The sequence below is a fragment of the Homo sapiens genome, chromosome 14 (genome assembly GCF_000001405.40).
Source record: "Homo sapiens chromosome 14, GRCh38.p14 Primary Assembly".
NCBI classification, from domain to species: Eukaryota; Metazoa; Chordata; class Mammalia; order Primates; family Hominidae; genus Homo; species Homo sapiens.
Window position 1 is genome coordinate 91,241,450 of NC_000014.9, and position 27,198 is coordinate 91,268,647.

Sequence of the window (27,198 nt, forward strand, 5' to 3'; positions counted from 1 at the left end):
AATTTCCAAGTTCTACCATTTTCAACTCTAAGTATTTCCTACATCCATCTCCTCCTCTTCAGCTCTCTTGCCAGCACCCTAGATGGGCTTGGTCAAGAGCTCCTTCCCAGAGTCAGTGCAACAGCCTCCTCCTGGGCTGCTTCCTGTCTCCATCTTACTATCCTCAAAGCCATCCTCTAAACAGAAATCTAACCCAGTCACACCCTGCTGCAAATGCTTCCATGGTTCTCCAATCATCCACCCATCCATCCATCTGTTCATCCATCCATTCAAACATCCATCATCCATTCATCCATCCGTCCACCCAAGTATTCATTCATACAGCAAATACTCACCGAGTGTCTATTATATGGAAGGCACAACACTAGACACTGGCCCCTAGTAACAAGTGGTTTTTAGTCCTAAGGCGGAGGAGAGAAGATAAGTGAAACAAGCTCACAAAGAGAGCGCAGGGTTTTGTGAGGATTCACGGGTGGGGGCCTCACCCTGTCAGGAAAGGCCTTCCTGAGCATCGGCAGTTACAGTAAGATCAGAAGAAAGAGGAAGTGCTGCCGAAGCAGAGGAGAGTTTCTACCTGTGGAAAATGTGTGGAAACAGACGAAATGCAAGAGGAAGAGAAGGGGCAGCTCTGCGGAACTGAAAGTAGGTTGGTGTGACTGGATCTAAATAAGAGGTAGGCAGGGCGAGAGAGGAAACAGTGTGAAGCTGTAGAACTGGCAAGTAATTACAAGGGAGGTGGGGAACAACCAGGGGCAAATTGGAGATTTTTCTTGGTGCCTGGTCCTTATAGCCTCCCCAGAATTATTTGTTGGATGGATGGTGGAGAGGTGGGAGGGTGAATGAGTAAATGGAGGGATAGGGGTAGCCAGATAGATGGATGACTGGATGGCTGGATAGATGGATATATGGGCAGCTGGAGAGGTGAGTGGATAGATGGGTGGGTGGATGGATAAGTGGATGGGTGAATGTGTAAATGGATGCATGGGTGAGGGGTAGAGGGATAGAGGGATGAGTGAATGGGTGGACAGACGGACGTATGGGTGGGTGGATAGGTGAGCTGATGGAAGGGTGGGTGGGTGGGTGGGTGGGTGGCTAAGTGGATGGGTGAATGTGTAAATGGATGCACAGGTGAGGGGAAGATGGATAGATGGATGAGGGAATGGGTGGCAGATGGATTATGGGTGGGTGGATAGGTGAGTAGGTGAGTAGGTGAGTGAGTGGATAGGTAAGTGGTGGGGGGTTGAGGCTGGGTGCTGGGACAGTGAGGATATCATTAATAGAAACAGGAAAGTGAGGAGGAGGAATCACCGTGGTCCCCTCTCTGCTCAGCCTGCCTGAGCTGGTCTGAGGGTCCTGATTTTTCACCAGTGCCTTCCCTTCTACTGTTCCCTGAGGACAGGCACCCCCAGATGGAAACTCTGACTTGCCCTCTACCTCATCTCCACAGGAACCTTCCTCCTCAAAAATCAAAGAACACAGTGGATGCGAAAATATTCCATAAATGGAAAAACGTAGATGTAGAGAAGAACTAAGCCACATCTGTCGAGGGCCCTGCACTTGCCAGGCAAGTTTCTGAATGTCTGTTCTCTCTTTCAACACCACTCTCATCAGCTCCCACTTTACAGATAAAGAAACTGAGGCTCAGAGAGATGAACCAACCTGCTGAAGTCTCTGCAGTTGAGATGCGGCAGGCCAGGTCTGGAACTCGGACTGGTCCATACTTTCCTTCATGCTGTGCTGACTATCATGATCATCCCAGAACCACCACCCTCAAGCCCCCAGCTCAGCCAAGCTCCAGTCCTCACAGATGCTGCAGCAATGGCCACCAGGCTTGGTCCTGGCCTGGCCCCTTCACCTGGACTATGCTTTAGCAGGTCAACCATGTTTTCAACGCCCACTGAGGAAAACCAGCCACGTGGCCAGTCCGTAGTTTGGGAAGGCATTGGAGAAAAGAATCAAAATAACACTTTATTACCCAGCTAAAAAATTGAGAAAAACTATAGAGTGACTCAACGCCTGAAAGCAAATCTTTAGCAAATGCAAATCAGCATAGAGGTCTCTGAGGACTTTAATGACCAAGAGAAATTAAGCTCCCAACAGGAAGGAAAGGCCTCTCTGACTAAGCTAGGAGTCTCTTGCATGTCCCAAGTCAGAAGGCGGAGGTGCCTAAATGCTGGATTCCAGCTGGCACATAAATAGTGATCTAACTCGCCCCCCCTTTCGTGCAGCACACACCGGCACGCACACAGACAGTTACTCATGGTGCCAGGGCTGCTCACGGAACCCCAAACCCACAAGAGCTGGGGAGTTTCCCCAGGGCCCAGCTTCCTTTTCCTTCAGTTGGCCAAACCTCTGCATGCTTTAAGCAAGGCTGTTTCATTTTCTGAAAGTGCTTTATTTTTCCCTCTGAGGAGAGGGGAAACATCAGGATGCATTTTTCCTTAGTCCCCATTTTCCCCCCAGATCGCCTCACTCCAGCAACAACGTGGACCATAGCATCTCACTTCTAGAACCCTTGTCACTGTTTCAAAGGTCAGTCCCATCTGGGCCCACGAAGTCCCTGTGAGTCAGGTGGGCTGGCATTGCTAAGCCATTTCTCAGAACCTGAAGCCCAGAGAGGCTAATGCAGGGAGGCTCAAACTCACACAGTCAGTTGGGGTGGATCTGAATCCAGAACCCACGTGTCTAGGCACCAACTTGCTGCCTTTGAGCTTTTTGGATCACAAGCAATAGCAAGAAATACACCTGACATCGCGACCCAGAACACAGACACACACACACACACACACACACACACACACACACACATCTGTACAAAGCAACAAACTTCCCCAAAGCAATACTTACCCTACTTCTTGCCACGCACTCTGATCATTTCTATTCTATTTCAATTTTTTAAATGCAGGTCATGAGCTATGAAGTTGATTTACTGACCCATGAATGGGTCACAACCCGCAGTTTGGAAACAGCTGGATGGACCCCCACCTGTGCTTTCCAGCTTCTCCTAGAGCCTCAGGGCCCCAGGAAGGCAGTGTGGTCTCTGCAACCAGGTGAGGAGCAGGCAGCTGCTGAAATCAGGATGGAGGGAGTCCTCTGAGGGGGGACTCTGAAACGAGTCCTCTCTGACTCTGCCTGCCCCAGCTAGGCTCTGCCTTCAAACCTCAAACAGCTGGGCTTCCTGCAGAGGCTCTGCAGGAGCCTGGGCACCCTTGCAGCCACGATCCCAGCTCTCCCTCCAGCGACTTCCCGCAGCCTGAACCTCCCAGCTCCGGCTAGAAAATCCCCAGCTGGAGGCTGCCCATTCCCGAGCTGAGGCAGAATCATGTGAACTCCAATCTGGTGTCAGGCTGGGCGGTTGCCGAGGAACCACTCGCCAGCCAGAGGCTGAGGGCGGCGGAATGGCTCTCTCCACGCATCTTCCTCTGCTCTCCATGCAACCCAGAGTCAGTGAGCAGCCTCGCTGGGAATGTGAAAGCCTGAGCTAGGGGCAGGTGCCCTCAGGACTGTGGTGGGGGGATACAGGAGGAGGGGGTGGGCTAATTCTAGCCACCTTTCAGCACCTACAGGATACCGGGATCCAGGCAAGGGTGGGGGAAGCCGCCAACATCTGGGTCACTGGGGCTCAACCCTGGCCATGTGCATGAGAACATACCTGGGAGCCTACAAAAAAAATACCAATGCCCGGGCCCCACCCGGGGCTGGTTAAATCATGTTTCCTGGAAGTGACGTGCCAGCATCAGTGGCTCTAAAGCTCCCTGGACTGTTCTAAAGTGCAGTGAAGGTGGGCAGCCACGGATGTGGTGAAGCAGGTAGGATCCTGTTTGGCAGAGCAGCAGAGCGAAGGCAGTGGAGCTAAGGCTCTGGGCATCAGTAAGGATAGGGCGGGCATCAATGTTTTCAACTGTGTCGGTCCCCAGAGAAGGAATCAAGCCCAGGGCTCTGGCCCCGGGGGCCCTTCTGGCTCTCAGGAGCACTTACTAAACTCCCTCCCTCACACACATAACACGGAGGATGGAAAGGCCCAGCATTTTGGCGTAACCACCTCCCTCCAAGGCAGACTCCTTGGAAGCTGATTATAAGCTACGTTGCCAGAGCCAGGAAGCCAACAGATACGGTGCATGGGGCCACTGGGGGTGCGAGTCCTTCCTGCTGGAAGTGGCCAGAGCCCTGTGCTTGGTCCCTGCTCTGGGGACCAACACAGTTTAAAACACTGATGCCCATCTTATTCATGCCAAGAGCCTTGGCTCCACTGCCCTCACTCTGTTGGTAGGGGGTCTAAGGAAATCCCCTTCAGTGGGGCCTGGGCCCTCCAAGCAAATGCTACCACATAGCAGGCCTTTTAAAAACTATTTCCGGCCAGGTGCGGTGGCTCACGCCTGGAATCCTAGCACTTTGGGAAGCCGAGGCGGGTGGATCACCTGAGGTCAGGAGTTGGAGACCGGCCTGGTCAACATGGTGAAACCCCATCTCTATTAAAAATACAAAAATTTGCTGGGGGTGGTGGCGCATGCCTGTAATCCTAGCTACTCGGGAAGCTGAGGCAGGAGAATCACTTGAACCTGGGAGGCAGAGGTTGCGGTGAGCTGAGATCATGCCATTGCACTCCAGACTGGGCGACAAAAGCGAAACTCCGTCTCAAAAAAAAAAAAGTTTCCTACGTCAGTTGCTTCTTGCAGGCCTTATGTTACGAGCAAAGGCTTCAGCTTGTTGTGGTGCAGTAGCGTGCATTTAGACACACGTGCTACTTCTGAGTTGCGGAAGTGTGGCTGGCTTTCCCTGATGTCATATAGGAGGACGCGGGGTTAGGAGCACAGAACTGACTTAGCAGTGACTGCCTGGCTTACCCCTAGGACACAACCTGCCAGAGAGAGCACCTCTGGCCCTCTACGGGGTGGCCTGTCCTAACAGGGTGTGCACACACCGGCCGTCTACACCATCATCGTCTATACCTGCAGGAACCACTAATGGCATGGTGTCCCCTCCCGCCTCCAGCCCTGCCAGGGGCTGGCAAGCTGCCCCAGCCCCTCTGCTGGCAGCATGTGCCCTACTGCACCTGGAGTAAGGACCATGCCTTTGGGATGAAGGAGGGGTGAAACTTTCTTTGGTTTTACTCAAATTGGCTGAGCCCAGGTCTTTGTGAAATGCTAGCTCAGTAAGAGAAAAAAGAGCCCATGCTCTCTCATGTGCTTGGCCCTCAAGGAGTTAGAAAATAGCCTGGAGTGGCTCAGTGCCAAGAGCTCCCTTTACCATTTCCTGAGCATTTGCTTTGCACCAGGTGCTGTGCCCATCCTTTGTTTAATCCTTATATCAACTCTGTGTGGCAGGGATTATCCTGTTGCCCAGGCTGGAGTGCAGTGGTACCACCTCCACTCACTGCAACCTCCACCTCCTGGGTTCAAGCAATTTTCCTGCCTCAGCCTCCCAAGGAGCTAGGATTACAGGCATGCGCCACCACACCAGGCTAACTTTTTTTTTTTTTTTTTTTTTTTGAGATTCGCTCTTGTTGCCCAGTCTGGAGTGCAATGGCGTGATCTCGGCTCACGGCAACTTCCACCTGCCAGGTTCAAGCTATTCTCCTGCCTCAGCCTCCTGAGTAGCTGGGATTACAGGCATGTGTCACTATGCCTGGCTAATTTTGTATTTTTAGTAGAGATGGGATTTCTCCATGTTGGTCAGGCTGGTCTTGAACTCTCGACCTCAGGTGATCCGCCCACCTCGGCTTCCCAAAGTGCTGGGATTACAGGCGTGAGCCACCACACCTGGCCCTAATTTTTGTATTTTTAGTAGCGATGGGGTTTTGCCATGTTGGCCAGGCTGGTCTCAAACTACTGGCCTCAAGTGATCCACCTGTCTTGGCTTCCCAGAGTACTCAGATTACAGGCGTGAGCCACCGTGGCTGGCTGAAACAACATCGATTTCTTATCTTGCAGTTTTGGAGGTCAAAAGCATGACATCGATCTTACTGGCTAAAATCAAAACTGCAGTCTGCAGGGCCGCATTCTTTCTTGAGGCTCTAAAATCCATTTCCTTGTCTTTCCAGCTTCTAGAGACTTCTAGCATACTTTGGCTTGTGGCATCTTCCATCTTCAAAGCCTACAGCAGTCAACTGAGTCCTTCTCACATCACATCTCCTCTTCTGACTCTCATGTTCCCTCTTCCACTTCAAAGGGTCCTTGCTTGTGACAATGCTGGATCACTCCTTACTTTAAGGTCAGCTGATTAGGAGTCTTAATTCCACCTGCTGCCTTAATCTCCCTTTGCCACGTAAGGTAACGCAGTGGCAGGTTCTGGGGATTAAGAACTGGGCCTCTTTAGAGAGGGCATTATTCTGCCTCCCACACCCACCTTGTGATACTTACTTAAAACCCTGTATAGTGCTGGCTGGGTGAGGTGACTCATGCCTATAATCCCAGTACTTTCGGAGGCTGAGACGGGTGGATTGCTTGACTCAGGGTTTGAGACCAATCTGGGCAACATGGTGAAACCCCGTCTCTACAAAAAATACAAAAAATTGGTGGGTGCAGTGGCATGTGCCTGTAGTCCCAGCTACTCAGGGGGCTGAGGCTGGGGAATTGCTTGAGCCCAGAAGGTGGAGGTTGCAGTGAGCCGAGATCACACTTGGGCGACTAGAGTGAAACCATGTGTCAAGCAAAACAAAACAAAACAAAAACCCTGTACAGCGCTGCTTCTCGAATGTTAGTGTGCATGTATTATACATCTCCCAGGAATCTTGTTAGTGTATCTTCTGGTTCAGTTCAGTAGGTCTGGGGTAGGGCCCGAGATTCTTCCCTTCTTTTTTTTTTGAGATGGAGTCTCGCTCTGTCACCCAGGCTGGAGTGCAGTGGCGCAATCTCAGCTCACTGCAAGCTCCGCCTCCCGAGTTCACGCCATTCTCCTGCCTCAGCCTCCTGAGCAGCTGGGACTACAGGCGCCCGCCACCACGCCTGGCTAATTTTTTGTATTTTTAGTAGAGATGGGATTTCACCGTGTTAGCCAGGATGGTCTTGATCTCCTGACCTCGTGATCTGCCCTCCTCAGACTCCCAAAGTGCTGGGATTACAGGTGTGAGCCACCACGCCCGGCCTGATTCTGCCCTTCTAACATGAACTGAGGACCACCTTTATCTCTTGTATCCCCATGGCAATTGCTATAATGCTGCACAAGTGTTTGGACTAAATAAATACTTGATAATGGAAAGGGCCAGGCATGGTGGCTCACAGCTGTAATTCTAGCACTTTGGGAGGCCAAGGCAGGAGGATCAATTGCTTGAAGCCAGGAGTTTGAGACCAGCCTGGGCAAAAAAGTGAGACCTTGTCTGTACAAAAATTTAAAATATTAGCTGGTTGTGGTGGCCCGCACCTGTAGTCCCAGCTAGTTGGGAGGCCAAGAAGGGAGGATCCCTTGAGCCTGAAAGTTTGAGGCTGTAGTGTCCAGCCTGGGTAACAGAGAAAGACCCAAAGGAAGGAAGGGAGGAAAGGAGGGAGGGGAGGGGAGGAAGGAAGGAAGGAAAGAAGGAAGAGAAAAGGAGGGAGGGAAGGAAGGAAAAATTGAGCTCTGAGTGTTTTTATCACTGTGGTACAAGGGAGCTGGGACAAGGGCTCCTCACACATGCTTCACACAGAAAGAAGGTGGCCTGAGGTTCTAAATGACAAACGGGTGCTGAGCAAGGGGATGCAGGGTGGGTGCTCACCTGCTTTGAGCTCCCAGTATAAGCAAGGCATTGAGCTTTCCATAGGCTGCCTTGATGCCTCACAGCAACCCACCAGGTAAATATCATCCCAGCTTTATCACTGAAAGCTCAGGGCTATCCAAGACCAAGGGTCACACAGCTGGCAAGCAAGCAGCAGTGCTGGTATTCAATTCAAGGTCTGAATTCACTGTGTTTTCATTTTTAATTAATTAATTAATTTTTAGAGATGGGGTCCCTGTTCTGTCACCCAGGCTGGAGTGTAATGGTGCGATCATAGCTCACTGCAGCCTCGAAAGTCTGGGTTCAAGCAATCCTGCCGCCTCAGCCTCCCCAGTAGCTGGGACTCAGGTATGGGCCATCACGCCCAGCTCACTGTATTTTTAAAAAAATTTTTTAGTATATGCAAGGGATTGGTTCCATCATTGTATTTATTTATTTTTATTTTTATTTATTTATTTTTTTGAAACAAGTCTCCCGTCTGTTGCCCAGGCTGGAGTGCAGTGGCACGATCTTGGCTCACTGCAACCTCCACCTCCCGAGTTCAAGCGATTCTTGTGCCTCAGCCTCCCAAGTAGCTGGGATTACAGGGTCATGCCACCATGCCTGGCTGATTTTTGTATTTTTAGTAGAGACAAGGTCTCACCATGTGGCTTACGCTGGTCTCAAATTTCTGAGCTGAAGCCATCTGCCCACCTTGGCCTCCCAAAGTGCTAGGATTATAGGCATGAGCCACCGCACCTGGTCCATCATTGTATTTTAATATTCACCAATGTAATGCATGGAAATATGTGTGACTATTGGTTAATGCCTATCTTCCCCTTTACACAGGAAGCTGCCTGGGGAAGGAGGAGCTGGGTCTATTTTGTTCTTTGCTAGGCACCGTGCACACCAAAAACATGCCGAACGTTTGGGTGAATAAATGAATCTAAATTCTGCTTCTTCCTGTAGCCTGCTGGGAAGGCCAGCGTGGCTAAAATTGAAGTCAGAAACTAACAATCTGGTGGAAACAGTCAGGATATAGGATGAGGCAACAAGAAGAGGCTTGGTTTGGACTCTCAGGGTGTGAGTGAGTGGCCTTACGTGGAAGTGCATTTCCTGGTGCTGAACCGGGGACTTGCAGCCAGGAGAGTCTGTGGTCTGAGAAGGTCTGAGCTGCCTGGGGCATCTCTCCTGTCTGCAGCCGCAGCACAGACCACAGACCTGGAGGTTGCCATGGCAACCCCTGTGGCCTACTGCCCCCACTGCCTGCAGAGTGCTCCAGCCCATCAATTAATAACCTAATAATGTATGACAACAGTCACTCCAAACACACAGGAAGCAGCCCTCTTGAAAAACAAACAGACTTCTCCAGCGACTTGAGAGCTTCAAATATGCTCATTACACTCAACCCCGGGCCACCTGCCCAAACCTATTTTCTTGAATCCAAATTGCTCTCTTGTTGGCTTCTCCCTCTTGTTTGTCCCCAGGGTTGACAAAGCTGGGGATTGAAGCCTCAGAGGTTCCAGGGAAAATGATGCTAGAGAGGCCACTGGGTAGGATGCTTGCTCCCTTAGCCCTGTGTCAGGCCCAGAGATACTGATTCTGACCAAAATGGACTGTGATAAGGCCCATGTCTGTCTCTGCAGGTCCTTCTCCTGGGAGAAACACTTCAACTTTTGCAAAAGATTCATTAATTCATCACCATGGCACCCAGAAAAAAAAAATGCAGAAGAGAAGACTCAAGTTGTGGCCGACCCAAGGTGGCTGCAAACTGTTTGAGATTTTCCTCGTTGAGAAGTGGGGGTCTAAGTTCCCTCCCTTGAACCTAGGCAGGCCCTCTGACTGCCTAACCAACAGAAATAGCATGGAAGCGACACTGTACCGGTTTTTGAGGCTAAGCCTGAAGAGACTGGCAGTTCCCACTTCCTGTCATCTGGGAATAATTGTTCTTGAAACCTAAGTGCTATGCTGTGAGGAAGCCAAGCAGCCTCGATGACAGGCCCACATGGAGCGGAACCAAACCCTGGCCAGCAGCCCCTGCTGCACCCCTAGCTGACAGCCAGGTTCGACTTGTCTTGCATACCAGTATGTCATCCTGGATGAGGATCCCCTAGTAGGGCCATCTCAGCTGATGCTCCAAGGAGCAGAGATGAGCCATCCCCACCAAGCCCTGCAAGAAAGACTGCCAACTAATCAGGAGGAAGACTTGCAAGTTGGGTTGGGTATACTGAAGTGTAAACACGTAGCCGCTACTCTTTTTTTTTTTTTTTTTTGAGACGGAGTCTTGCTCTGTCACCCAGGCTGGAGTGCAGTGGCACGATCTCTGCTCACTGCACGCTCCTCCTCCCGGGTTCACGCCATTCCCCTGCCTCAGCCTCCCGAGTAGCTGGGACTACAGGCGCCTGCCACCATGCCCGGCTAATTTTTGTATTTTTAGTAGAGATGGGGTTTCATCGTGATAGCCAGGATGGTCTCGATCTCCTGACCTCGTGATCTGCCCGCCTCAGCCTCCCAAAGTGCTGGGATTACAGGCGTGAGCCACTGCGCCCGGTCTAAGTTAATATCTTTAAATGTGGTTTGTTATGCAGCAATAGATAACAGGAACATAAATTATTTGTCTCCCCAAATCACTTTAGGGCCTATCATGTGCTGGATTCATTCATATAATTATTTGATTTCAATTTTTATAACAATTCCTTGAGGTGTAGGTATTATCATCTCCACTCTCCCTATGAGATAGTGAGACTCAGAAAGTTAAAATATCTTGTTTGAGGCCAACCAGCTAGGAAAGATGAAACAGGAATTCTGATGCTAAAGCTCATTCCTCTACCACCATCATCATCATCCTCACCGTGGCTGGTGCCAAGTGCTCCTCCTTCCCTCAGGGGTCTTCAGTCACCAGCCCCTCTTTGGGTCCACCCACTGAAGTCCACCAACCTCTGGACACCTTCACACTTTACATTTGCTGCCTTGAACCTGTTTTCCACTTTGTTTCCTGTTAGCTGAGTCTTCTCTTCTGACAGTGTGCACCTTACCCAGAAGCGTGTGGTATGACAGTAATAATAAAAGTGGGCGGAGCTGACATTCAGAGGACATTGCAAGGCTTTCAAGGTCGGATTTCACCTGTGCAATCCCATAACCGCCCTACTATGTTGCCCATTTCACAGAAAACTCAGAGGCTTAGAAAGAGACAACATAGGCTGGGCGTGGTGGCTCACGCCTGTAATCCCAGCACTTTGGGAGGCCGAGGCAGGCGGATCACTTGAGGTCAGGAGTTCGAGACCAGCCTGACCAACATGGTGAAACCCCGTCTCTACTAAAAATACAAAAATTAGCCAGGCATGGCGGTGGGCGCCTGTAGTCCCAGTTACTTGGGAGGCTGAGGCAGGGGAATCGCTTGAACCCAGGAGGTCAAGGTTGCAATGAGCCAAGATTGCACCACTGCACTCCAGCCTGGGTGACAAAGCAAGACTCCATCTCAAAAAAAAAAAAAAAAAAAAGCGACTTGCCCAGTAATAGCTCTAAAATATGGAAGAGCTGGGATTGGACTTAGACTATCTGGTTCTGGAACTGGGCTGGCAAGTGAAAAGCCCACAGTCCACAGCATCCTCACTGTCCAGCCCCACTTCCACTGTTGAGCTCAGGAATTTGTTTCCCTGCCTCCTTTTGGAAGCGATCCTGTGTGTGCAGGTAGGGGCAGAGGGAGTAAAGCCAAACGTAACTATAGCATCTCAGATTTGCAGACTCTCAAACCAGCCTCACACCTCAGTGAGGTGACAATGGCTAACATTTTCATCTCAGTTTTACAGAAGCCCAGCCACAGCAGGTGACCTGCGCAAAGCTACACAGCCTCTGGCTCCAAGGCAGGGCTCTCTCCCCTGCCTGTGCCCTCTCGCCACCGCAGCCCCTGTTCTCCAGCTGGGGGACCACCCAGAGGACCACCTGGACCCTGCTGCCTCCGTTGGGCCATTTGCTTGGCGGAGTAGTTGGGGGGTGGGGGGCCTGCAACCTAGGACCCCACCTGGCGCTGCCCCAGCCCACCGAGCAGTGAGCCAGCTCTCCCCTCATCGGTGGCAGGGGGAGCTGTCGGGATCTCAGGGCTGCCCTGAGGGGCCGCGCAGATCTGGGGGATGTAAAGGCCCAAACGGACTCGGAATGGCCGGTGCGGCCGGGCTCTGGGAAATGAAGGGCTCGCGGTGTCTCGCACTTTTTGTGGGGGCGGGAGTAATTACCAGGTGGCCGCGGAGCCAGCCGAGGGGGCGGCTGCTAACCCGGGCGGCGACCGCAGGCGGAGACGCCCCGCCCGGGACAGGGACCGGGCCGCGCCGGCGCTCGCGGACAGACACCCGCGGTCCCGGCCGCTGCCGCGTCTCCCGCCCCCGCCACGCCCCGGCGGCCTCGCTTGGGGCGCGCCCCCGCCTCGCACGCGCACGCGCCTGCACCCGCACTGGCCCGCCCGGTTCCCCCGCGCTCGCGGGGCCGCTCCGGGGGAGGTGCCGAGACCCGGCCTTGGCCCGCGCGCGGTTTCCGGGGTCCGGCGCGCCGGGGACCCACAGGCGAGGCGAGAGAAAGGGGTTGGCTCGCGGGGACACCTACCTGCGCGGCGCGGGGCTGTGGCGCCGGCCACCATTACCCCGCGCCCCTCCTCTTGCCAGCGCGCACGCAGATGGCGGGGTGGCCTGGGGAGGTCTTCGGGTCCCTTCCTGGGAACGCAGGGCCAAGTTGTGCTCCGATTCCACGCCCCCCCCACCCACGTCGGGCACACGCAGCCCTGAGTGAGGGTCCATGCCCTGCCTTTCACGCTGACCACAGCCCCTAGGCTTGGCGCCTGCCGGGAAGGGCCGCAATGGCTCAGGGACCCCTGCCCCCACTACCATCCTGCCCTGGGGGGACAGGCTCTAGAACACTGCGTGGGGCTCAGAGTGGGCCTAGCTGTAAAAGGACAGGGGTCCTTCTCCAGCCACGCCCACTCCCGGGTGCCCTGGCTGTCAGCAGCCTCTCACCACAACCGCAGGGTGAGAAGCCCAGAGAACAGTCCAGGAGTAGCCCTTCTGTCCTTTACCACGTCCGTGTGCCCAGCACGGGCAAATCAGTAGCCACGCAATAAATGAAGTGCGGTGTTGCAGCTCTGGGCCTCTCTGCACCTGCCCTGACCTCAGCCTGTCCAGCCCAGCCTGGGGATCTGCACTTAGGTTTGCAGCCTCCTGGGTCCCTGCCCGGTGCTCCTCAGAGCCGGAGCCTGTCTGCCGCAGGGATGGCTTAGAGGACCTCCTACTGACCTTCTTGATAATTCAAGGAGGCCTTAGGCCCCTCTGCCCCACATCCTCACAGATAATAGTAATAATAGTCCCAGCCCGCATCTATTGAGCACAGCTGTGTGCTGGGCTCTGTTGTTAAGTACTTAATTACATTAACTCATTTGATGTTCAGGGCTCTATGATGTAGACAGTATTGTTATTCCCATCTTATACATAGGGGAATGAGGCACAGAGAGGGCAAACAACTTGCCCAAGGTCACACAGGTGGTACGTAGAGGCCTCGGGATTCAAATCCAGGCAGTTGGGTACAGAAGCCCTCCTCCTACCCACATCCTGTCCCAAGCCACCCTTGGCTGTTTCCTTCTGCTCTTTCACAATTGCATACCTTGGCTCCTGTGGCCCTCCCCACTCTATAGACCTCCTGTTTCCCACCTCCTGAACTCCTGCCCCCATCTTAAGACCCCAAGTCACTTCCCCTAGGGAGCATTCTTGGTTGCCCCAGGTAATGTGTGCTGAACCCTGCTGTGTGCCCTTAGCCCCTTTCCCAGCATTGCACTGCCGCTGGGGTCGCTGGCACACAGCTGTCTCTCTACAGGGCCCTTGCTCTCAGCCCAGTTATCCTGCTCAAAGCAGGGTGCCCCCATTCCTATTTGTGAAATGAATGTCTGGAACTGTCACGGCAAGAGTCTGCAGAAGGTTGGGCGGTTGTCAGGACAGATGGTTGCAGGTTAGGGATGAAGGGTGATTGGAACTGCAGGCAGGGGAGGTAGAAGGAGAAAGAGAGCAAACATCTCACCTTCTGCTAACCCCTCTAGGTGGCTCAGTGCTCCACACGGTGTGACTTAGCCTCTAGGTGAATCTCCAGAAGGATGGACAGTGGGTAAGAGGACAGAAGGTGCCCTAGCGGGGGAAGGCCGGGGAGCAGGAGGAGGCAGAGAGAGGCACAGGGAGTGTGGAGGCGGGAGGATTTGCTTTTCTCACTGGGCACTACCCCAGCAACATCCCAGCAGGCTAAGAGGCTGGATAAGCCTCCTCTGCTGGTCTTCATTTTGAAATTCCTCCTTAGAAAGTCCTCACAAGTGGAATTTTCTGGGTTGACTATGCCATAAAAATTCACATCTGCTTTCTAAAAGTTGCCAAACTGAATGTAGTTGTGAAGAGTTTGGCGTTGAAAGCCAGTGTCAGCATTTGAATTCCAGTTGTACTACGCGCTAGTAGGGTGACCCTGGACAAGTCTTTTAACCTCTCTGTGCCTGTTTCCATCTGTGAAATGGAGACACATCTTCAAATGAGGGCTAAGATGATTACATGAGTTAAACCAAGTAAAGCCCTTAGCTCAAGGCCCAGCACACATGAGGGTTCAATAGATGTTAGCTGTTATTATCACTGTCATTGGACATTCCAAATATCCTCTTATTTGCAGCTCTTATCATTTATTATTTATTTATTTATTTTTGAAACAGGGTCTCACTTTGTCGTCCCCCAGAGTACAGTGGAGTACAGTGGCGGCTCACTGCAGGCTCAATTGCTCTTATCTTGTAAATGCTTCCTGTGTCCTTAGTGCCTGTGCATGATCTCTTTTCATCTCCAAAACAAGTAGTTTTATTCTCTCCATTTCACAGATCAGGAAACTGAGGTTTCATAAATTGCCTGAGGCCACTCAATTCCCAAGTGACTGAGCCAGGACTTGACAGGAGTTCTGACTCTGAAGCTGTTTCTTCCAATGATTCTGTTCTGCCTCGTCTTATCTCTCTAGGAAAGAGGTGGGCTGTTTTAAAGCTCATTGTCAGTTGCCAGATCGAGGACTCTGACTATCAGGAGTACAGAGCATGCCCTGTAGAAAATGTATTACAGAATGAATCCTGCCAGGGCTACCACACTGCACAACCTCAAGGGTGCCGTGCATGCTGCAATCTATCAGTTGGTGGTCCCTGGAGTTGGCACAGTGTGCCAGTACTTGGTGGCCCTGTCTCCTGCCTCTCTTTTTCTTTTCTTTTGTTGAGACAGAGTCTCCCTCTGTCACCCAGGCTGGAGTGCAGTGGCATGATCTTGGCTCACTGCAATCTCGGCCTCCTGGGTTCAAGCAATGTTCATGCCTCAGCCTCCTAAGTAGCTGGGATTACAGACGTGTGCCACCACACCCAGCTAATTTTTAGTATTTTTAGTAGAGACGGGGTTTTACCGTGTTGGCCAGGCTGGTCTCAAACTCCTGGCCTCAAGTGATCTGCCTGCTTCAGCCTCCCAAAGTGCTGGGATTACAGGCGTGAGCCATCGCACCCAGCTATGCCTCTCTTTTTTCACCCCACATTCTCCGTTTACAGGTGCCTAAACATATCCAGTGCCTTTCACAGTCTCAATGCTGTTAAATTAAAACAAAGTCACTTTTGATTCATGCTTCACTTTTTAGAGACAGACAGCATGGCTCTTATTATAGTTACTTAAAGATCTGGAACTGGCCAGTGGAGTCTGAGAAGCTTGGGCTGTTGCCAAAATACAGACTTGGGCATTTCTGGCCATGCTTTCCCTAAGAAAATGCTGGAGCTGGAGAACCATATAGAAATTCATCATACTGCTTGCAAAGTCACTTTTGACTGGATTTTGCTATGTTTCTTGGTGTCAAGATGTCCAGTCCTTGGCAGAGACAGCAGAATTTGTTGTTTTGTAAATAAAACCTGGCTTTACAAGCAACAAAACAGCTCACTAATGGTAAATTAAGCACATATTGTCTTCCAGAACCTTCCTGAGCCTAGAGAATGTAAATTATGACCTACGCTTTTGAAATGCTGATTGGAAATGCTGCACTAATAACTATCTGTCTCGCCCACAGAAATTATCTCCCACATTGGGCTGGGCTCCAGAGACATGGTCTGAAATTCACCACCCCCAGTGCCAGTGATGTTTGCATCCATTTCTTCTTTTCCAGTCACTTGTGGGATTTTCTTTTTATCCTGGCATCTGTAAAGGCAGAATCTCTACACAGAGCCTGAGGACAGCTCATTCACTGCATTTCCCCAGTGTCAAACCCAGAGTGACACACTGCAGGTGTCCAGAAAATGGCAGCCAAAGGAATGTGTGAAAGAGGCTCCTGCACCAGCAATGTGCTGCATACTTTCTATCCACCTATCCAGATCCAGTCTCCATCCCCCTACTCTAAGGATGATGTCACCCGGCACCCTGCCTTCCAGCGTCTGTTAGATTTGGGTGATAGGAAGCACTAACTGGAGATCAGAGGATGGGAGGAGAGTGAAGACCCGGCAGTATTTATCCACTCTGCCAGGGTCACTTCAGGTTGGCTGCCTCCCTCGGCTGAAGATGTCAGCTCAGTTCCTGTTGGAGTCCCTGTCCTGCACTTGTCTCTTCCTTCTTCCTGCAAGCCTAGGGCTAGTAACAGCTCCTGAGGCATGGCCGTCCCACCGTGTGGCACCATCCCTTAACCCTGTCCACACCTTTGTGTTAAACTCTCATCAGTTACCCTGCTTGAGGGTGCCATCTGCTTCCTGCTGAGTCTGACTGATACAGAAACGGATGCATCAGATACATCCTCACTGCAAACTCATACTAATGGAAAAATGTGCATATATTTCAGAATGTGCACAGATGATCTACTTTTGAAAATCACTGTTTTTCCACTTCGTTCTTCCAATTAGCACAGCTGGCTAGCCTTCGCGGAAATCTCTCTTTATCCCCTAAACAACAGAATGAGTCCCTACTTCCTCCCTCGGTTCTAGCGCCAGCTCATCTCAGTCTCTGCTCAGGCCCAAGCCTTCTCTTGCTGATCCACCCCTGTCCTGTGCTTCCCGTCACCATGAGCTTTCTAGAGCGGAGCACGCGGCTGCCGAATCAGGTCGGTAACTTTCCTTCTGGGAAATAATTGCCGATGCTGAGTCAAGCACCTCTCAGGACAGTTTCAGGCAGAAAGAGGCTGGTTTTCTTTCCTAAGAGTTATTGTTTCTGGCAACGACCACACTCCAGCAGGCTCAGGCCTGAGCTGATGAATGGGACAACCTGATGACCACCACAAAGTTGCGTCTGCTCCCATCCAGCTAATCCGAGGGCTCTCAGACAGACTGTGACTAATGGGGACATCTGAGGGCAGAACGTTCGAAGGCCAAGGAGGAACAAGTCCAGACAAAGTGTGAGCACACACATCTGGAGGGCTGGGGAGCCCATGTCACATTCCTGGCTGGACTTTGGACTCCAGGAGGAAGGCTTCAGGTTGGGCTTGCTCAGGCTGAGGCAGTTTGGGAGAGTGGGAGTGCAGGGAACTTGGGCATCTGAATGCCCGGGTTTGAATTCCACATCTGTTGCTTTTTGGCTCTGAGAGCTCTGGCAAGTTATGTAGCCTCCCTGGGCCTTGGTTTCTGCTTCTTTAAAATGGGGTTAACAATGAAGATTGGTGTAAGAATCACATATAAAGGTGCTGTCAAGAAATCTGGTTGAAGGCTGGACATGATGGCTCATGCCTGTAATCTCAGCACCTTGGGAGGTTGAGGTGGGAGGATCACTTGAGGCCGGGGCTTCAAGAAGAGCTTGGGTAAGACTGTAGCCATAGCCATAGCAAGAATCTGTCTCTATTTAAAAAAGAAGAAGAAGAAAAAAGGAATGGAAATAAATTAATTAAATGGAAGTGTGGTTGACATAGAAACCAGGAAACCAGCCTTGCCAGGTCCAAAAACAACAGGTTATGCTGGGAAGGCACAAGAGGGGGCTTTGTTGACGGAAGTAGCATGACCCAGGCTGGGGCTATTCAGCTCTGGTCAGCCTCTGCCTTGGTTCCCTGCTTAGGGAGAACGGCCCCAATCCTGGCTCCTCCACTTACTGGTTATGTGACCATCAACAAGTGACATTCTCTCTGTGCCTTAGTTTCCTGATATGTAAAATGGGAATAATACTGAGTATTATTATAATAATAAGTACTGAGTATAATAATAATAAGTACTGGGCCAGGCACGATGGCTCATGCTTGTAATCCCAGCACACTGGGAGGCTGAGGCGGGCAGATCACTTGAGGCCAGGAGTTCAAGACCAGCCTGGCCAACATGGTGAAACCCTGTCTCTACTAAAAATACAAAACTTAGCCAGGCATGGTGGTGGCCGCTTGTAATCTCAGCTACTCAGGAGGCTGAGGCAGGACAATTGCTGAACCCAGGAGGTGGAGGTTGCAGTGAGCCGAGATCCTGCCACTGCACTCCAGCCTGGGCAACAGAGCAAGACTCTGTCTCAAAAACAAAAACAAAACAAAACAACAACAACAACAAAACAGTACTGCACAGGGTTGTTGTATTAACTGAGTTAGTAAGTATAAAACGCTTAGAACTGTGCCTGACCCTAGTAATGCTCAATTAATAAATGTTAAGCCATCCCTTCTTCCCCCGATGCCCATGGAAGGCGTATGTGTTCCAATCTCATTTAAGGGTGCAGGCTTCTTTGTGGCAGTGAGCTGGGTAAATGGTGATTACTTTTCTTTGATTTGCTACATAAGATTTGCCTCCTGTGGGGCTCACGTGACTTGGTGTGCGGGTGCTGGGGGAGGACAGGGATGGATGTGAGTGGTATTTGGCACACAGAAACTTTTCCAGCCTTAACTGCCTGGGACCCCTGAAGAAAACCATTGGCAGTTCTCCCTCCAGCCCTCTTGGATCACGGCTTAGGTGCCTATAATAGAGTGTGGATGGTGTGGGAGGGTGAGAAAGGGCTGAAATGAGAGATCACTGGCAGAGAATTTGTAGCCTAAACAGGGGCCTTACCTAGAAAACCTTGGAGAAAATTCTCCTCCTGAGCTGGGCTTCAGATCTTCTTGGCCTGTTCCAGGCATCTTGAGGGCAATAATGGTGCCAGAGAGGCAGTGTAGCCAAGAGGCCAGGAAGGTGCACCCTGGAGCCCCACTGCCTAGGTTCAAATCCCAGCTCTGCCACATGCCAAGTTATTTAACCTCTGTTCCTTATCTGTAAAATGACAATGATGGCACCTAACTCATGGAGTGTCATGTAATGTGCCTGGAGCAGTAAATGTCAGCTACTAGGAATATTCCACCAGCCAGTGTGTCCTGTGACTACAAGGGACAGCTACTACTGTGGTAGGCAGAACAACAGCCCTCAAAGATGAATGTGGCCTTGGCTGGACGCGGTGGCTTACACCCGTAATCTCAGCACTTTGGGAGGCCGAGACGCACGGATCACTTGAGACCAGCCTGGCCAACATGGCAAAATCCTGTCTCTACTAAAAAAAAAAAAAAAAAAAAAAATTAGCTGGGCGTGGGGGTGCATGCCTGTAGTCCCAGCTACTTGGGAGGTTGAGGCATGAGAATCGCTTGAACCCGGGAGGCAGAGGTTGCAGTGAGCCGAGATCGTGTCACTGTACTCCAGTCTGGGCAACAGAGCAAGACTCTGTCTGTTAAAAAAAAAAAAAAAAAAAGATGACTGGATTCTAATCCCTGGTACCTGTGAACATGTTACCTTACACATTAAATGGACTTTGCAAATGTGATAGAGATTTTGAGATGGGGAGATGATCCTGGGTTATCAAAGTGGACCCAGTGTCATCACAAGGGTGGAAACAGGAGGCAGAAGAGAAACTTTGAGTGATGTAGAGAGGGAAGGGCTCCGCCATCCACTGTCAGCTTTAAAGATGGGAGGGGCCGCAAGCCAAGAAATGCAGGCAGGCCTGAGACGCTGAAAAAGGCAAGGAAATGGAGTCTCCCCTGGACCTCCACAAAGGACCTGGCTGGCCCTGCCAACACCTTAGTTTTAGCCCCGTGAGACTCTATTCTGTCCTCTAGAATTCTAAAATAATGAATGTGTGTTGTTTTAAGATACTAAGTTAGTTGGTGGTAATTTGTTCCATAGCAACAGGAAACTAACACAGCTGTTGAGACCCAACACAGCTCTGTACTTGGAGGCTGGACCATGTGGAGTCACTCCTCAGTGTTTCCTGAGCACCTGTGGTTTAAGTGTCACCCACAGCCCCTGCCCTCTGGAGGTGTGGGGAACACACCAGACCATGGAACTGAATGTGCCCTGGGTATGCGTATTGCCAGCGATGGAATATTCTGGGGCAAGAGGGCTTAGGGTGGATCCGTTGGTTTAAAAAGGCCTCTGGAGAAGCCGGACCCCTGGCAGGGCCTTGAAGGATGGAGGGTTTGGATAAGGACAGGGAGGAGGGCAGGGAGAAGGAAAGAAAGGCATAATTGGAAGTCAGGGAGGCTCACTCAGTTATTCATTCATTATTCGTTCATCAGCTCATTTAACACCTGTGCTCTAGGCTGTGGGGCCAGGGTGGAGCCGGTGCCAGGACAGTGAGGTGAACAAGATAGACCTAGTGGTTGTTCTTTTTTTTTTTTTTTTTTTGGGGATAGAGTTTTGCTCTTGTTGCCCAGGCTGGAGTGCAATGGCATGATCTTGGCTCACCGCAACCTCTGCCTCCCAGGTTCAATCAATTCTCCTGCCTCAGCCTCCCAAGTAGCTGGATTACAGGCATGTGCCACCACGCCCAGCTAATTTTGTATTTTTAGTAGGGACGGGGTTTCACCATGTTGGTCAGGCTGGTCTTGAACTCCTGACCTCAGGTGATCCGCCCGCCTCAGCCTCCCAAAGTGCTGGGATTACAGGCGTGAGCCACCGCAACTGGCTCTAGTGGTTGTTCTTATGAAATTTATACTCAGGAGTGGAAGACAATATGCCATTGCAATGAAACATGGCAAGCGTTACAGCAGGAGAGGTTTAGCTTGTGAAGGGGCACATCAGGGTGGACTTCCTGGAAGAAGTAGCCCTTTAGTTGATAACAAGATTAACTGAAGGTTTGTTTTATATCACTCCAGGCACTGCTGGGCTCTCTGCACTCAGCAGGTGCTGACTGAAGGAGTCAGTGATTATTTTTGTTATTCCCGTCAGAGCCGTTTTTTTTTTTTTTTTTTGAGATGGAGTTTTGCTCTGTCACCCAGGCTGGAGTGCAGTGACGCAATCTCTGCTCACTACAACCTCTGCCTCCTGGGTTCAAGCAATTCTCCTGCCTCATCTCTAGAGTAGCTGGGATTACAGACGTGCACCACCATGCCCGGCTAACTTTTGTATTTTCAGTAGAGACGGGGGTTTCACCGTGTTTGGCCAGGCTGGTCTCGAACTCCTGACCTCAAGTGATCCACTCCCAAAGCTGGGATTACAGGCGTGAGCCACCACACCCGGTCCCAATCCTTTCTTAATCTGTCTTATTACACTAAGGAGAAAGCCTCACATGGGTGCTTTAACACCACTCTCATTCTTGCTCATCTCCTTTTTTAGCCTAGAGAGCAGGCCTCAGGTATGTTCACAGGTGCTAAAGTTTAATAACACTTCTGCCTAGTCCCTCACTTTTATTTGTTTAATTACCTTCTTTTTGTGGCAAGGGGTACTGATTTTCTATTTCTGGAAGTAGATTGTAATTTCTTTTTAAAAAATAATATATTTGTGTAATAGAACCAAGAGTGGGATTTTCCCCCTTGCCTTGGAATTGACCACTGGGTCTAGGTCCTCTTTAGTGGTGGGGCCTGACTCCACTCCCTAATCAGGACTTCCACCAACAGCAGCCCCCTCCACCTTGCAATCTCCACCCCCCAACACACACTGTCAGTACGGGGCAGCGGGGAGGGGCGGGGCGGGGAGTAGAACTGGGGTTAGAGGGAGAGCATTTGGAGGCTGAGAGTCTTCGAGAGCTGGAAGTGGAGCTACTTTCTTTAGAAGGTGGGTTACTATCTGCTCTCTCTCCTCAGTCAGGAGCCCCAGGGGTCAATCAGAGGTAACAGAATTTGTACCACAGGGGCCTGGAAATGATGAACTCTGCCCAGGAAATTGAGGAGCACAGACGGAATCTGAAAATAGTGATGGTAAGACATAAGTTTCGAGTTTCCATTTTTTGAGTGGAGGTCCTGCGGTAATCCAGCTCCCAAGGTAAAATATTCAAATAAAAACATGATGTATATACTAGACATGGAACTTGAGGGGGCTGAGATTTTTTGAAACTGGTTAGAAGGGAAAACCAGGATGAATACAGCAAGAACAACATTCTGATAACAGCTATGATTGGAGGATAATGGGCAGGGAGGAGCCACGCCTCAGGAGCCAAAGTAAAAAGCACCTGGTCTGGAGGGCGGGAAGTCAGGGAAGCCTTCCTGGAAGAGGTGATTCTGAACTGAAACCCAAAAGTGACTAAGAGGTATCCTAGGACTTCTCTCAGTGACTGGTGTGTGTGATGCTGTGGATACAGAAGGGGCCCTTGAATGTTGATGGTGGGGGCTCACTGGCCCAGGAGTGTATTGCTGGGGGCCACTTAGTTTGATTTTGATCATCTTGGGCAAGAAGGAGAAGCAGTGCAGACCTCCCATCGGTAACTCTGAATTATAGTCTGTCTCCCATGTAGCGTGCGGTCGCTCTGAATTACAGTCTGTCTCCCATGTAAAGTGTGAATTACATGGGCAGTGACCAGCTCCCTCCAGCTCAGGCCAAAGCCCAGCAGAGTGCCCGTTTTGCTGAATAAATGAATGAGGGAAGATGGAAGGATAAAACGAGGCAGTTAAATAATGTGTGAGAAGTACCTGGCACCAGGCGGGCATTCAGTAAATATTAGTGTGCCCCTCCCTCCTCCTTTCGCCTCTCTCCTCTCTCTGGGCCCGGGTGGAATAGCATTTCCCCAGCTTTAAGAGTTGCCACGGAGCCCAGACCTCCCGCCTGGGCCCGGGTCCTTGGACTCCTCCCGTAGTGTTCCTCTCGGTGCCTCAGCTGCAGCTGACCTGTGAAAGGTCATGTCCTCATTGGGTCTGGACAGTGCTGGACTTTTGAGATCTGCCCCCACTCCAGGAACCCTGGGCAAGGGAGCCCCTCTGGCCTGCCGTCCCCCTAGACGCCACTCCATGACACCCTCAGGGTGGGAAGTCCCTGGGCCCCAAGAGCCCCATCCATTTGTATCCTATCCTAGCACAGAGACCTACCCCAGTCCTTCTCCTGCTCCACTTCCCCCGAAGGCCTTTATTCCACAGATTGGATTTGAATTTTCCGCCCCGGTAGCTGGCGGGGAGCCGGCCTCGCTGAAGGTCAGCCGTTCCCGGGTGCGTCCCCGCGCTGGCGCCGCCGTCAACCCTCGCCCCGGCCGCCCGGCGCACTCACCTCTGTCGGGTCCCGGGTGCAGGAAGCGCGGCCGCGGTTCGGCTGGGCCCGCGGGAGGGAGTGGCCGCGGGGACGGCGCCTGCGGGGCGTGGCGGGACCGGCGCGGAGCTCGCCGTGCGGGGTCCTCGGGCGGGAGGCGGAGGCTCCGCCGCCCACCCCGCCACGGGGACAGAGTCCAGGCCCCGCCGGACACCAGGGCACCTGCACCCCCACCGGCCTGGGGAGGGTGCGGCTGCCAGGACAGCTCCTAGGGCACCTCCCTCCCCCCGGGGCTCGAGGGGCCCAGGTTTCCCTCCCTGCGGCCGGGCTGGCTGGATCCCTGCCCCTATCTATTTGTGGTCTCTTTGTGGGAAGGGAGATGGGGAGCAGGTAGCTGGTTCTGCCTCTGCTCTCAGATGTGACACGATGAACCCAACTTCGTGGGGCTGGGCCAAAAGGCCGGAGCTTGGAGAGGGGACATTTCTGCGCTTGACTTCGGGCTATGGACTCTGCCCGGTGGAGACCATTGTACCCCATACGGATGGAGAGGTGACGGGCTTGCCCCCGGGCCTGGGGTCTGTCATTCCCCTGGCGGACTCTTTCTGCTGTCTCTGGAGAAGGGCAAGGAGGGAGGGTGGAAGGTGAGAGAGAAGCCGGGACAGAGTTTCCCAGCCTCCAGACAAGCCCGAGTGGCCATTCTCTGTGCCTTGTGCGGGAAAACCACGTCTCTCAAACCTAGGCTCTTCCAGGGCTGAGTTTGGGGCCAGCTGAGTCTGAGGCGGCTGGGTTGTTCTGCTCTGAGCCTGCTACTGGGCCTGCCTCAGCAGACCTTTGGAATCGGATCCCTGTGGCCATCCTGCACACCTGGTACCCCTCTCCCTGAGGCCTTTCATGGGGCTGGGAGGGCAGAAATGAGAGGGAAATGGCCTAGGAGACAGCCAGCGGCTGGCATAGCTGCGTACACCTTAGGACGGTCAGCTCCGCAAAGCCCCTAGCTTCTCTTCTCTTCTCGTTCCTTCTTCACCTTTGGTTATTTCTGCTCAATCATTCAGACTCTTCCCCTGCAGCCCATCCCTAAGAGGTGGTGCTCCCTGTGCCAAGCCGACCTGTGCTGGCTTGTGAAAGCACATCTGTGAATTTCCAGGAATTTTGCAAGCCAGTTGTTCAGCACAGCCATTATTAACAATTAACTTATGTAAACCTACCATCGAGTAACTTACATGAAAAGCAAAGGTAACACTCAAGACTCCCCACTTCCTAATTATTTTACTTTTGCCCATGCTTTCAGGTTACACCTATTGTATCTGTATGGTGGTGATATTATACCATGAGGTGCATCTCTTTCTGGTGAAGGAAATCCCAAAATATTTCACCCCAAAATATGGCTCCCTGGTATAGTGAGTATTTTGAATTCAACACCCTTAGAGATCAATAAACTGGAAGAAACTTTCCCCCTTCTACAAAAAGAAAGGACTGAATCACCAAGGAGAACAGTTGTTCTTGTTCGCCCGTTATCTCATTACCCTTCACAGCAAAGAAGACCCAGAATGTAACCACATCTGAACAGACTCTTTCAAGACAGTGACTGTTGCCAAGGATCATATAAATTCCAAAGAATTTTACAAGTTACTTTCTGTTCCCCATCCAATCGTTCTCCCTAGTAATCATTTATAATCCCTCAATAGAATTCTTCTCCCTCTCCCATAAGCCCCCATTCTGTCTGTAACCTCGAGGTAGTATATAAGTTTCTGGACTTCACTGGAGGGGGTCTAGTCTTTATTCTGAAGGCTGTCATGTATACCTGTTAAGAATGATAGAGAAGATGTCTTGGGTGAATATTATGATATATAAATTATATCTCGATTTTTAAAAAATTGAGGCCAGGCACAGTGGCTCACAACTGTACAGTCTCGGCACTTTGGGAGGCCGGGGCGGGTGGATCATGAGGTCAGGAGTTCAAGACCAGCCTGGCCAAGATGGTGAAACCCCGTCTCTACTAAAAACAGAAAAATTAGCCCGGCGTAGTGGCGGGCGCCTGTAATCCCAGCTATTCAGGAGGCTGAGGCAGAGAATTGCTTGAACCCAGGAGGCGGAGGTTGCAATGAGCCGAGATCGTGCCACTGTACTCCCGCCTGGGCGACGAGTGAGACTCCATCTCAAAAAAATAAATAATAAAAACTGAGATTTTTTAATCTCAAAGATTGAGATCAGTTCCGTGTTAAGTGATGTGTTCAGTGCTGGCAGCTTGATGTTGGCCATGGTGAGAGTACTTATAGCACAGAAATTGGTAAATGTTATAAACTTGGGCTTGATTTATATATTTTTTCATTGTCTAGTGTCTCTAGACTTAAAAAAAATAGAGAAGATGCCTTGGGTCAATATTATGGTATGTAAATTATATCTCAATTTTTAAAAAAGTGTGTTGCATCTGTAGCCATTATAATAGGAATAGTACAAAAAATTGAGGAAATATTTGTTCAGCATTCAGAAACTACCACTTGATTAAACAAAGTTACTCATGTTTTCAGTGAAGTTCTGACATACATCTTTGACTTGTTTCCCTTTCATCTTACATGTTAACGTGAAAGAAATTATCAACCACATTTGTGTTGAAGCTATGCTCATTTGTCAGTTGCAAGCCTAGGTTGGCTACAAATACACCAGCAAAAAAATCAATGAGCTTTCTGCAAGAATCAATTGGTTGTATGGATTTTACAATAATTGTTATTGTATGTTTTATTATTTATAAATTGTTACTGATGATAAAGAGTCAAACTCTGGCCAGGTGTGGTGGCTGACACCTGCAATCCTGACACTTTGGGAGGCCAAGGTCGAGGGATCACTTGAGGTCAGGAGTTTGAGACCAGCCTGGGCAATGTAGCAAGACCCCGTCTCTACAAAAAATAAAAAATTAGCCAGGTGTGGTGGCATGTGCCTGTAGTCCCAGCTACTCAGGAGGCTGAGGCAGGAGGATCACTTGAGGTTGCAGTGAGCCATAGTCATACTACTGTACTCCAGCCTGAGGGACAGCGTAAGACCCTGTCTCAGAAGGAAAAAAAAGCATATCCAGCTGCAACTTGGGTATTTCCCAGCCACCAGGTCACACACCACACCAACGCAGAGGGTGGGGCCCTGGAACTCAGGAGGGGGCGTGATCCAGGGTGCTCTCTTAGCCACAGGATCCCATGGTACTGCTGAAGGGGGCTGTGGCTTGGGATTGGCTGTGGAGGTGAGCAGGGTCTTAGCGTTGAAAGCAGCTGATGGAGTAACAGGACCACGGGGGAGAGTGAGGGGAAGGCCAGCATCCTCCGGATGTGTATGGGGCAGGTGTTGGGGGTGGGAATACAAAGAGGCCTCGCTTTGGAGGGGGAGGATGGTGAGCTGTGTTGGGCATGTTGAATTTGAGGTGCGTTTGGGACATGCAAGTTGGAAATCCAGATCTGGGGTTTTGGAGGAGAGGTGGGGGCTGGAGATACAAGTTTGGGCCTTCTGGGAATAGGTGGTAATTAAAGTTGTGGGTATGCCTGGGCTTGATGAAGTATGATCAGGGGCTGGGTGTGCCTTGAGGGGAGCCTGTAGAGAGGACCTAGTCTGCAAAGGGCTGGGTATGGGTGTAGAGCACCTTCGACATAAGTAACTCCATCTTAGAAAAAGACTCCATCTTACATTTAATATGGCACTTCGCCAACAGGGACCGCATGTTTTACCTGATCAATAAAGACTCATCCAACCAGATAAGGACATAAACAAACACACTCTCCACTATCAGTCCTCACCAGAAGACTCTGTGACTATAAAAGGAGCAAGACTTCAGCAGCTTGAAACGGCCGTCTCAACTGACACCATCTTGCTGTCACTTGTGATCAGCACCCAGCATCTCCCACCGAAGGCTCTGCCCACATCAGTGACTCTACTATTTACAACAGCCAAGATGCGGAAGCAACCAAAGTGTCCATCAACAAATGAATGAAGAAAATATTGCATATATACACAACGGAGAACTACTCAGCTGTAAAAAAGAATGAGATGCTGTCATCTGCAACATGGATGGAACTGGAGCTCATTATGTTAAGTGAAATAAGCCAGGCACAGAGAGAGAAACTTCACCTGTCGTTACTTATTTGAGGGAGCTAACAATGAAAACAACTAAACTCATGGA

General features: G+C 51.0%; 1 protein-coding gene across 11 annotated transcripts in view, besides 12 other annotated features; it reads right to left on the reverse strand.

Moving 5' to 3' along the window:
* Positions 1–27,198, reverse strand: part of GPR68 (G protein-coupled receptor 68) — a 38,259-nt gene that overhangs the window by 8,918 nt on the left and 2,143 nt on the right. For 2 of the 11 annotated variants that reach the window (NM_003485.3, NM_001348437.1), the window contains exon 1: positions 12,266–12,431. The exons of 1 other annotated variant lie outside the window; for it this stretch is intronic. The gene's annotated coding sequence lies outside the window, so the exon portion shown is untranslated. Of the gene's footprint in view, positions 1–335; positions 639–1,659; positions 2,169–2,847; positions 3,256–12,265; positions 17,499–22,885; positions 23,123–27,198 lie in introns of those variants that run through there. 8 more of the 11 variants (XM_047431790.1, XM_047431791.1, XM_005268112.4 and 5 more) reach the window with 8 other exon arrangements.
* Positions 1,783–1,892: an enhancer, noted in NCBI's record as "active region_8900". NCBI's record gives its function as "activates an Ori minimal core promoter by ATAC-STARR-seq in GM12878 lymphoblastoid cells {active_cell/tissue: GM12878}" and the evidence as "EXISTENCE:reporter gene assay evidence [ECO:0000049][PMID:35858748]".
* Positions 2,952–3,453: an enhancer, noted in NCBI's record as "H3K4me1 hESC enhancer chr14:91710745-91711246 (GRCh37/hg19 assembly coordinates)". NCBI's record gives its function as "activates a minimal SCP1, AML or CMV promoter by ChIP-STARR-seq in naive H9 embryonic stem cells {active_cell/tissue: H9 hESC(naive)}" and the evidence as "EXISTENCE:reporter gene assay evidence [ECO:0000049][PMID:30033119]".
* Positions 2,973–3,022: an enhancer, noted in NCBI's record as "active region_8901". NCBI's record gives its function as "activates an Ori minimal core promoter by ATAC-STARR-seq in GM12878 lymphoblastoid cells {active_cell/tissue: GM12878}" and the evidence as "EXISTENCE:reporter gene assay evidence [ECO:0000049][PMID:35858748]".
* Positions 11,943–12,092: a silencer, noted in NCBI's record as "silent region_6019". NCBI's record gives its function as "represses an Ori minimal core promoter by ATAC-STARR-seq in GM12878 lymphoblastoid cells {active_cell/tissue: GM12878}" and the evidence as "EXISTENCE:reporter gene assay evidence [ECO:0000049][PMID:35858748]".
* Positions 12,123–12,182: a silencer, noted in NCBI's record as "silent region_6020". NCBI's record gives its function as "represses an Ori minimal core promoter by ATAC-STARR-seq in GM12878 lymphoblastoid cells {active_cell/tissue: GM12878}" and the evidence as "EXISTENCE:reporter gene assay evidence [ECO:0000049][PMID:35858748]".
* Positions 12,123–12,677: a biological region, named in NCBI's record as "H3K4me1 hESC enhancer GRCh37_chr14:91719939-91720470".
* Positions 12,146–12,677: an enhancer, noted in NCBI's record as "H3K4me1 hESC enhancer chr14:91719939-91720470 (GRCh37/hg19 assembly coordinates)". NCBI's record gives its function as "activates a minimal SCP1, AML or CMV promoter by ChIP-STARR-seq in naive H9 embryonic stem cells {active_cell/tissue: H9 hESC(naive)}" and the evidence as "EXISTENCE:reporter gene assay evidence [ECO:0000049][PMID:30033119]".
* Positions 12,678–13,209: an enhancer, noted in NCBI's record as "H3K4me1 hESC enhancer chr14:91720471-91721002 (GRCh37/hg19 assembly coordinates)". NCBI's record gives its function as "activates a minimal SCP1, AML or CMV promoter by ChIP-STARR-seq in naive H9 embryonic stem cells {active_cell/tissue: H9 hESC(naive)}" and the evidence as "EXISTENCE:reporter gene assay evidence [ECO:0000049][PMID:30033119]".
* Positions 22,933–23,568: a transcriptional cis regulatory region, noted in NCBI's record as "candidate enhancer chr14.1904 targeted for multiplex CRISPR interference". NCBI's record gives its function as "positively regulates GPR68 gene expression with high confidence in K562 cells {active_cell/tissue: K562}" and the evidence as "EXISTENCE:mutant phenotype evidence [ECO:0000015][PMID:30612741]".
* Positions 23,123–23,182: a silencer, noted in NCBI's record as "silent region_6021". NCBI's record gives its function as "represses an Ori minimal core promoter by ATAC-STARR-seq in GM12878 lymphoblastoid cells {active_cell/tissue: GM12878}" and the evidence as "EXISTENCE:reporter gene assay evidence [ECO:0000049][PMID:35858748]".
* Positions 26,074–27,103: a transcriptional cis regulatory region, noted in NCBI's record as "candidate enhancer chr14.1905 targeted for multiplex CRISPR interference". NCBI's record gives its function as "positively regulates GPR68 gene expression with high confidence in K562 cells {active_cell/tissue: K562}" and the evidence as "EXISTENCE:mutant phenotype evidence [ECO:0000015][PMID:30612741]".
* Positions 26,656–26,950: an enhancer, noted in NCBI's record as "tiled region #4292; K562 Activating DNase matched - State 5:Enh". NCBI's record gives its function as "activates a minimal TATA promoter and a strong SV40 promoter by Sharpr-MPRA in K562 cells {active_cell/tissue: K562}" and the evidence as "EXISTENCE:reporter gene assay evidence [ECO:0000049][PMID:27701403]".